At 44.8% G+C, this 10,229-nt stretch overlaps 1 long non-coding RNA gene across 2 annotated transcripts in view; it reads left to right on the top strand.

Moving 5' to 3' along the window:
• Positions 839 to 10,229, top strand: part of LOC105375841 (uncharacterized) — a 28,089-nt gene continuing 18,698 nt past the window's right edge. Inside the window, exon 1 of one of the 2 annotated variants that reach the window (XR_928899.2) lies at positions 839 to 1,211. This is a non-coding gene — a long non-coding RNA (uncharacterized LOC105375841). Of the gene's footprint in view, positions 1,212 to 1,565; positions 1,627 to 10,229 lie in introns of those variants that run through there. The other variant, XR_928898.2, reaches the window with a different exon arrangement.

The raw sequence follows: 10,229 nt of genomic DNA, 5'->3' as shown, positions 1-10,229 counted from the left end.
TAAAAAACACTACAGGAAATACAATCCAGGTGTGAGTCCAAAAAATGTACATATACAGATTTAGCCCTGTACACTTTCTTCATCCTCATGCTCTTCCTCACCCAGCTCATTATTGGGAGAGGTGCGCTTGGGAGCCAAGAAGGTGGAGAAAATGATGGGGAAGAAAACGTGGGGTTTCCATATTTTATTGATTTATTTACTTATTCATTTATTGAGACAGAGTTTCCCTCTTGTTGCCCAGGCTGGAGTGCAATGGCGCGATCTCGGCTCGCTGCAACCTCCGCCTCCCCGATTCAAGCGATTCTCCTGTCTCAGCCTCCCGAGTAGCTGGGATTACAGACGCATGCCACCACGCCTAGCTAATTTTTGTATTTTTAGTAGAGACGGGGTTTCATCATATTGGTCAGGCTGGTCTCAAACTCCTGACCTCAGGTGATCCGCCCGCCTTGGTCTCCCAAAGTGCTGGGATTACCGTCGTGAGCCACCGCGCCCGGCCGGGTTTCCCTATTTTTATTTGCCCTTGTTCTTGGGGACTGATCTTGGTCTGGTAAGAGAAATCAGGTGAAAGTACACAATCATAGGTTGGAGTAGGAGCTTCAGATTTTGACGCCCCTCCCCCTACTTCTTATAACACCCTCCCTGAGATCATAAATTCACAGTTTACAAATTTACAGGGGAGGAATTGTGGTGGCTTTCCAAGACTAGTCCCTTTTACATACTGTGACCTAGTTAGATCTCATTTCTTCTGATCATTCGCTTGTCTTATATTTCGGGGGGCAGTGTGGAGGGCGGCGACGTCGCTGACCCGCGCGCGGTGTGTGGAGCCTTCTATTTCAGTCTCTTCACTTTAATACGTGGTGCCCCGGGACGTTATCAGAGCCAGCCACAGATGCCACATGTAAAGCAGCAAACATCCGGAGTGGCTTCCTGCAAGCCTTGCTTTTCTCAACACAAGAGATTTACGCAGGGGGTTGGGGGAAACAACTTTCACAAGTAAGAGCCGAGTACACCGCTCGCATAGCCGTTCGGGTGCGTTAGCACTGCACGGTCCAGGGTCGCAGGGCTCCTGGCTACTAATTGCGCTCACGTCCCCGGGTCCTTGGGCCGGACCCGAGGCTCTAAAGGCTGGGCAAGGAAGCGACTAGCGCACCAAGAAGCTGTGCCCGTTGCCAGTTGGGGCCTTTGGTCAGCGGGCGCAGAAATTAACTCGGGTAGGTGGCGAACCGTGGGGCTGACCTGGAGGAATCAGAGCCACGCTTATCCGTGGGCCCCTGAGTGACCAGGCAAAGGCTGGGTGATTTCCGGCAGGCTTTTGTGTTTTCGATGCTGGGAAAGCAGGGGCTGGAGGAAGGACACTCAAGTCGATCGGGAAGGACCCGTGGGCACCTAGGCAGATCCGGGTTGGCGCTGGAGAGCAAGTCTGTGGGGGCGGGGGAGGGGAGTGCGCGCCGCAAACCCTGGGAAAACTCCAGGCTGCCCGTGGATGACTAGACAATGGTATCCCTGAACAAAGAACAACAATAAGGCCTTTGCATTTATAAATCGTGCGCGGGCGGCTGCCTCCCGGAGGCCAGCACGAGGTGGCGCGCGGCGGTGGAGCGCGGCCGAGGGTCCCGCACCTCCCAGGTAGGGCAGCGCAGCCGGACGCCGCCGATTCGCACCTCGCGTCCCGGCGCCGTCTAGGCGGCGGTGCCGCGCCCCTTGATACCTTTAACGTCTCCTCCTTGTCCCCGGGCCAGTACCCCGTGGGTCCAGGATGGAGGTCGAAGGTCGCGGGCGGGAGGGGAGTGTAAGGGGGGAAGGAGTGGCCCGGAAAATCGCGGCCACCGGCTGTGCCGCCGCGCGCCCCCTGCCTTGGAGGCCCGCACCAGGTCGGAGCCCTGCAGATGCTGCAGTGCGGGTCCGATCCAGCCCCTGCGGTGCTCCACTGCTGCGCCGGCCTCTCCCCGTGAGGACTGAAAAAAAGGGCGACAGCGAGAGGGGATTTGGGGACGCGCGTTACCCCCGATGACCGGAGCATGCATTTTACTTGGACGCCTTCTCCCACTCCCTCCATGCGCATCCCTCCCTGGTTCCGCGGTGTCCCCTCGAGGCTGCCCCCCAACCCCTCCCTGGCAGCGGGCGACTCTTAGACCGTGTCCCCGTTCCCGCTTGGCCCCGCCTGGGATTTGCACAGGCGAAGCAGGAAATGCGCTGTTCCCGGTCCACTTCCCTCTTCAGAAACTCATCCGTGGAGTGTTTCTTAGATCTCCCCACCTCCAACTGTGGCCCCGGGTTGAGGTGTGTGGGCTACTTCCCTTTATTGCCTGGGCTGTGGAACCTCATACTCCAGGGAGAGGTGGCGTTGGGAATGAGGGAGAGGGTCCCGTTCCTCACCCAGGACTCGTCACATACACAGTACTGTCTTGCTCACCCCTTTCAGATCTGCCCCTCAGCCTTAAAAGGGATTTCAATAGCGGCAGAGCTTCTATGCACTCGGTGCTGCAGGTGAACTCCTACTCCCACTTTCCCCATCCACACCCTAGGAGAAGGCAGGGCTTTCCTTGGAGACCTGTGTCCTCACCTGACCAGACAGCCTTATCAGCAGCGTGCCCACTGTGCGCAGAGCACTTCCACTCCCACCCGAAGGAGAATAGACGCGGTCCCTGCCTCGGAGGAATGTACCGTGCCGTGTCATTAGTCTTCCTCCCTGATTCATTAACTTCCAGCTGGGTGTTCTAGGTATGGTCTTCTGTAATAATTTGTTCCTGGCATGTAAAGGTGATGCTGACATCAGTAGGTCAAGCGCTTTGAGATTTTTTTTTTCTAGTAGAGATAATAGGTTTCCTTTCCACCCTGAAAACTCTGGCTTGCCAAGTTTCCCTGGTAAGCAGGGCTGGATTGTGCCAGATGGTTAGGGCAAGGTGTGCATTTTGTTATCATGGAAGTGATCAAAGTTAAATAGGGCATAGGACAGGCCACTTCTGACAACACTCATTACCCACTGTTTTGTACAACTTTAGCCACACACATGTCAGATTTTGAAAGGGTATCTGAATTGGCTTCCAAAGTTTCTGAACAGAAGAGAAAATGTTAGGGATCCTTGCTAGATTCCTTTGCAGTCAGTATTTGGTTAACCTGTTAACTAAATTTTCTTCTCTGTCCACTTTTTGGACCTTGCAAAACTGTCAATACTCTTTAATAACAACACAGGGTCTTTGGTACATTTCATCTTTATGTCCTGAGAGCCCACGCAATTCACTGGTCTTCAATATATTCTTCAGTATACTGTTACAGCTGTCATGGATGGAGTCCTAAGGTCATCTCCCTACAAGGCAAGGCACTGAGAATGACCTCTGTAGACCTTAGCAAAGGCACTGAGAATGACCTCTGTAGACCTTAGCAAAGACTGTTCTCATCTCAGACACATCTGTGTAGGCCTGTGGTCATCTGACTTCAGGTCTGTCATATTCTTTTTCTCATTCACCAGGAGTTTAGTCTCCAGACATTCATTGAGCATCTGAAATACCACCTTTTTTGAGGATTAAGTCAAATTCTGTTTCTTTTCTGAACTGATTCCACTTGGAGCTCCAGGCCAAGAATGTAAATGGATAATTTTGCATGTGGATATAATGCAAAAGCAAATGTCTATATTTGGAAAATTTTTCGAAACTGACCTTTAGTATTAACGTCTTCATAATGGTAGAGGACAGTTTACAAAGCAGTTTCACTAATTTCTCTGACCCTCCTGACAGCTCTGGAGGTAGACAGTGCAGCCTTTGTTATTAGCCTCATTTTTCAGAAGAGGAGATTAAGATTGAGAAAGGACAGATGATTTGCTCAAAAGCACACAAGAGTGCTTGGACCAGCTATCTGCCCTTGCTGCTATCAGTAGTGGGTCTTCAGGAGTTGGAGGCTGCAATGAGCCATGTCTGTATCACTGCACTCCAGCCTGGGCAAGAGAGCAAGATCCTGTTTCTAAAAAAAACAAAACAAAACATTAGTGGGTCTTGTTTTGAATTTCTTTTCATGCCATGTCTACAGCCAATAAAGAACCTAATGGAAAGCGCAGGGACAAAATAAAGACAGTGGATAGACAGAGATGGAGTAAGGACCCTTGGCACAGAAACTTCCAGTGTTATCCCTAACTAGGTCCTGATAATTTTTAAATATTAGAGATGCAGTGCTGTAAGAGGAAAGCATTTTCATTTAGAAGATCTATAACTTGATATTTTTATTAGATCATATAATCTAAGCCCTAGATAACATTTCATTTAACTATTATTTTACACAAACAAATTCTGATTCAGCTGAAAAAAAGACAGAACAGTTCAGAGTTAAATGGGAATAAAGCTCATGTGTAAGGAAGTTGAAGTTCTCAAACTTTTGCCCCTCTACTTCACACTCATTCAGATGGAAAGCAACTTAATTATACTGAATTGTGGTTTTGTTGCCTGTTTAAGGTATAAGCTGTTAGCCTACTCTAGACCCACTGCAGATCCAGTCTTAAAGACATAAAAACATACAGCAGGTAGGTAAAGTAAATGCTCTCCATTCTTCCTGTTGTTTGGAAGAGAAATGGATGGCAAATATTATCAATTCTGTTTTACAAAGTGAAAAAATAAGGTACAGAACAATTGGGTAATTTGCTTAATGCTTTCAAATCAGCCTAAGAGACAAGAGAGTAATTTGTTCATTTAATCCACAAATAATTATCCAACAACTGTGAATCTGAGGCTTGGCACAGCATGACACATTGGTTATGAACACATATTTGGAGTTGAACTGCTTGGGCTGGAATTCTAGTTCTACAGTTTACCAGTGGTGTATTCCTTGGACACGTTGCTTAATCTTCTTTAGACCTCATCTGTGAACTGGAGGATGGTAATAGTAATGACCTCAGGGAGTTTTATGAGGATGAAATGAATTAATTATTCATAAACTACTTATAATAGGGCCAGGCACATAGTAAGTTCTACACAGGTATTTAATAAATAAAATTAAATTAAATAAATGCATGTTAGCTTATGAAAACATTGTGAGAAAAAATAAAATAAAACTACCACAGTGTTGAGGGTACATGCATTATAGCAACTAGATGGAATGTATAATATCATGTGTTAACATCTATGATAGCTAGTAACAACATTGTTATACTTTAATCAAAATTGTCTTACACTAGCAAAACTTTCAGAGATTTCTCTATAAATTATTGTTCATTTTCTAGTTATATTTGAATGTGAGCATTTTTACTCTGGTGGTAAAAGAAGTCTTTGTTTTGTGAATGTCAACCTTCTAAAACCCTGTTACAACCGGCAAGCAAAAATACAATTGCAAAGAATTCAATATTCTATTAGTATATCTTTGCAATGCAAAGAGATGCTTTGCAAATGGGTATTTACATGGGTAGGCCTAAATTCTTCTCCTAAAGACTTACAGAGGCAGAGTACAATCTCAATAAGTGTGGCTGGTATCAAGTATTTTAAAGGAAGAATAACCCACAAATGTACTAACCTAGGCTAGATCTTTGTGTTGTAGAGTGAAAAGACTAAATTCTAGTCTCGGTTGTTCAATAACTTGCTACCAGGTAAATTGCAAGTCCTCACCCTCAATTTTCCCAAAAAAAGAAGGGGAGAATGTCAGATCTTTGTCAGATAAAGAAGTGAAAAAAATGATCACAGACACCTTTGTAAAGTAAAAGTGCTGAGTAAAACTGTGTGTGCGTGTGTGTGTGTGTGTGTGTGTGTGTGTGTCTAGGGATATAATGATTTAGAGAAAATTTTCTGTACAGAAAAAAATAGCAAATTGAGATAAAACGCAAGTCAGGGACTGTAAAGAAGACTATACTGCTTTGGGTAAAAATGGAATGCTATTTTTTTATAGAGCAAACCCTTTTTAAAATTATTTGAAATTAATTATTGCACAGAGGGTCCCTACCTTTGATCCAGGGGAATGCAGATTCTACTTTTATGAGGAATGACTATGGATTTACTGGGTTTCCATTACGTTAGTAAAGCTAATCGATTATTTCAGTGGCTAATCTAAAAGTAGAATTTGGGAATTTGGACAGAGAATAGATAACTCTTTCTTTTTGACATTTTCTGGTTATATAACATTTTTACAGGGGCTAAAAAGGGCTATATAACTCACCCCCTTCCTTCCAAGTTCCAGAATTCCTAGAGAGTATTGAAAAATGGAAATATCTTCCATATGAAATACTACATATTCCACTAAAAATGAAAGTGTTTGTTACTTATACCACTATATAAATACACAGATATTCTTTTAAAATCACTTATTTTGAAATAATGTCAAACTTGCAGAGAAGTTCCAAGAATAACACAAAGAACTGTATCACCTTTTCTGAGACTGCTGTGTTAGCTTTCTTTTTTTTTCAGATGGAGTCTCACTGTCGCACAGGCTGGAGTGCAGTGGCGTGATCTGGGCTCATTGCAACCTCCACCTCTCAGGTTCACTTGATTCTCCTGCCTCAGCCTCCTCAGTAGCCGGGATTACAGGTTTGCGCCACCACACCAGGCTAATTTTTATATTTTTAGTAGAGATAGGTTTTCACCATGTTGGCCAGGCTAGTCTCGAACTCCTGACCTCAAGTGATCCACCTGCCTTGACCTTCCAAAGTGCTAGGATTACAGGCGTGAGCCACTGCGCCTCACCAGCATTTTATCTTTTGCTCCATCTCTATCTAAATAAACATTTTCCCACATTTGTTCCATCTCATTCTTCTTTTCTAAATATACATACACAGAACAATAGAAACATAGAATACATTAGTATATAATATATTAATATAGATACTATATAAATATGTAATATGGATATATTGTTACATATTCTATATTAAATCATATGCATATATGCATGCCATTAGTCTTTTTCTGACCCATTTGAGAGCAAGCTGTGGCACAATGTCTCATCACTTACTCCAAATACTCCAGTGTATATTCCCCTAAAATGTGGACACTCTCCCCAAAACCATCAAATACCATACAAATTAGGAAATTGACATTACTACCATACGTCACTACCATCTAAGCCACATACTCAATTCAAATTTTGCAAGCTGCTTCAACAATGCCTCTTTTCTCTTTCTGGCCCAACATCCAATTCAGGATCAAGTTACATTTATTTATCAAAGGTCTTCCATATTTTTCTGTCTATCTTATAACCTTTATAGTTTTAAAGAGTGCAGGCCTTTCATGCCAAGAATGTCCCACACCCTGGTCTGTCTATGTTGACTCACACATTCTTTGTAGGAAAATCGTTGATATGGTGGTGTGCTCCCATCAGGGTATGACAAGGAAGGCCGTCGGACGTCTCATCATCACTGGTGATGCTAATCTGGTCACTTCATCAAGTTGGTGTCTACCCAGTTTCTCTACCTTCAGGTCACTATTTTTCCCCTTTGTAAGTGAGAATTTTGTGTGTGTCTTTGTGTTGAGAACTCTGACAATGAAATGGCATGTATTCCTTCTACTGTAAGGAAGTTCTCCCTTCTTTTATTTGTTTGTTTATTTGTATCTCTGTGGATTCCTTTCTTTTTTTTTTTTTTTTTTTGAGATGGAGTTTCATTCTTGTCACCTAGGCTGGAGTGCAATGGCATGTTCTTGGCTCACTGCAACCTCTGCCTCCCAGGTTCAAGTGATTCTCCTGCCTCAGCCTCCCAAGTAGCTGGGATTACAGGTGCCCACCACCACACCCAGCTAACATTTTTGTATTTTTGGTACAGACAGGGTTTCACCATGTTGGCCAGGCTGGTCTCGAACTCCTGACCTCAGGTGATTCGCCCGCCTCAGCCTCCCAAAGTGCTGGGATTACAGGTGTGATTACACCATGCCTGGCCAATTGATTCTCTTTTTATTCCCTAGATTGTATCAATAGTTTGGGTGCTGCAGTTGCCACAGATTTGGCCAGTGAGGTGCCTTTCGAGCTAGCTCCTGTATTCTTTTGATATGTCCTTATAACCCTTTGACCATTTTCATAGTTTTTAGCACAACACGATATTCCAGGCTCGTTTTGAATTTTCCCTTCATTTAGCCCTAGATCCAGGCATTTCTCCAAGGATCAAGGGCATCTTTTTGTGGAGGATGGCATTTAGAAGTGGAAATCTGGGTTCTCATCAGTACTGTACTGTCCCTGCTTCCAGGCACCCTCAAAAGACAGAGCTAGGAAATAATGTATGCTCATGTATGTATACGTGTGTGTCCACATACATACATATCTATAACTATTTCTAAATCTACCTCTGTGTGTGTTTATATATATATATCTTGTGTTAGTCTCCAATTCCAATCCAACATCTTAGGGTTCTTTCTAGACTGCTCCTTTGCTGTATTTGTAAATCTCTTTTCCCACAGTGAGAAACCTGGCTCCTGTTTCTCTCCATATGTGCACATATGTGCTCACTGTAATCAGGCTCCCGGCCACACCACTGCCCGCTCCCAGCCCCCATTTTTTTGGCTTCCAGGCATGCCAGCGCCTCTGTGCAGGCTTTGCCCAGCACCCTGCTTCCTCCATGCCCCAAAGCGAAAGAAAGAAAGAATTACTTGTTTAAATCTATTTAAAAATTATTTTAAGTATCGAGTGTGACCATAAACTCTAAGCTAATTGATGTTTTCGTCTTCACTCCCTTTACCTGCTGGCACGTTCCTCAGGCATCAGTTAAAAACAAGGCACAATTTTGGTTTGTCTTGAATGCAGTCACTCATCGTTTTAAAACTGTAAGATTGTACCATTAAGAACTAAAATATTGGTGGTGTGTGCCTGCAGTCCCAGCTGCTTGGGAGGCTGAGGCACGAGAATCTCTTGAACCGGGGAGTTGGAGGTTGCAGTGAGCCAAGATCACGCCACTGCACTCCAGCCTGGGCAACAAAGCAAGACTCTGTCTCAAAAAACAAAAAACAAAACAAACAAACAAACAAATATTCTTTGCGTCTGGGGCTTTTAGTCATGGCTAAAGCAAAACTAGGATTTCTTTTCTTAAAAACCATAAGGGGGCCGGGCGCGGTGGCTTACTCCTGTAATCCCAGCACTTTGGGAGGCGGAGGTGGGCAGATCACGAGGTCAGGAGTTCGAGACCAGCCTCGCCAACATGGTGAAACCCCATCTCTACTAAAAATACAAAAATTAGCCGGGTGTTGTGGCAGATACCTGTAGTCCCAGCTACTCAGGAGGCTGAGGCAGCAGAATCACTTGAACCTGGGAGTTGGAGGTTGCAGTGAGCCAAGACTGTGCAACTGCACTCCAGCCTGGGTGACAGAGCAAGATTTCATCTCAAAAACAAAACAAAACAAAACAAACCCTAAGGAAGAAAGAGGAGTAAGCATTAAATAGTATTTTCCAGATGTGTTAATAAAATATGTGGCAGCTTTGAGGAAATATTTCATAAATATATTGCCTTTCCCTGCTGTCAGCCACACCCACACACACATTACTCTCCATGATTGTAGATGAAGAAAATAATGCATAACAAGCCAGATTGCATGACTTGCCCCAAGTGCAGAGGCTGGCCAATCTAATTTATACTGCTGCTTTGCATGATTGAATTCCCATGAGTCATTTCCATCTTCAGTGTAAGAGGGAAAGTTCAGTGGAACTACATTAAAATGAAGATCAACCCCTCTGTCTCCAAAGCAGGCTCAGTGGCTCTCTGAACTCTACATCCCTGGTGTGGTGCTTTCTCTTAGAGAGCTCAGGAGCGGCACTGCTGGCAGCCCCAGGAAACCTGACAGTGCGCAGGTACAAGTTTAGCTACGGGTCAAGCACGGTGGCTCATGCCTATAGTCCCAGCACTTTGGGAGGCAGAAGAGGGAGGATTGCTTGAGACTAGGAGCTCGAGACCAGCCTGGGCAACATAGTGAGTGCCTGTCTCTACAATTTTTTTTTTTTTTATTATCCAGGCGTGGTGGTGCACACCTGTAGTCCTAGCTACTCGAGAGGCTGAGGTGGAAGGATCACTTGAGCCCAGGAGGTTAAGGCTGCAGTGAGTCATGATTGCACCACTGCACTCCAGCCTGGGCAACAGAGCGAGACCCTGCCTCAAAAAACAAAACAAACAGATACCCCAAAAGTTAGCTGCAGTGGATGACCTAGGGCACGTAAACAGGCTCTTCTCTTCTTGGCAAATCTTTTCTCCCTTTCCAGGACTAAAGGAGGAAAATCTGACAGGGTCGTGTCTACAGAAAAGGTGATGATAGGACATCCCAGAGCCAGAAGGGGCAGCCTCTGGTTAA

The sequence above is a fragment of the Homo sapiens genome, chromosome 8 (genome assembly GCF_000001405.40).
Source record: "Homo sapiens chromosome 8, GRCh38.p14 Primary Assembly".
Taxonomy (NCBI): domain Eukaryota; kingdom Metazoa; phylum Chordata; class Mammalia; order Primates; family Hominidae; genus Homo; species Homo sapiens.
Note: the sequence above shows the minus strand (reverse complement) of the source record. Positions and strands in the feature narration are given on the sequence as shown.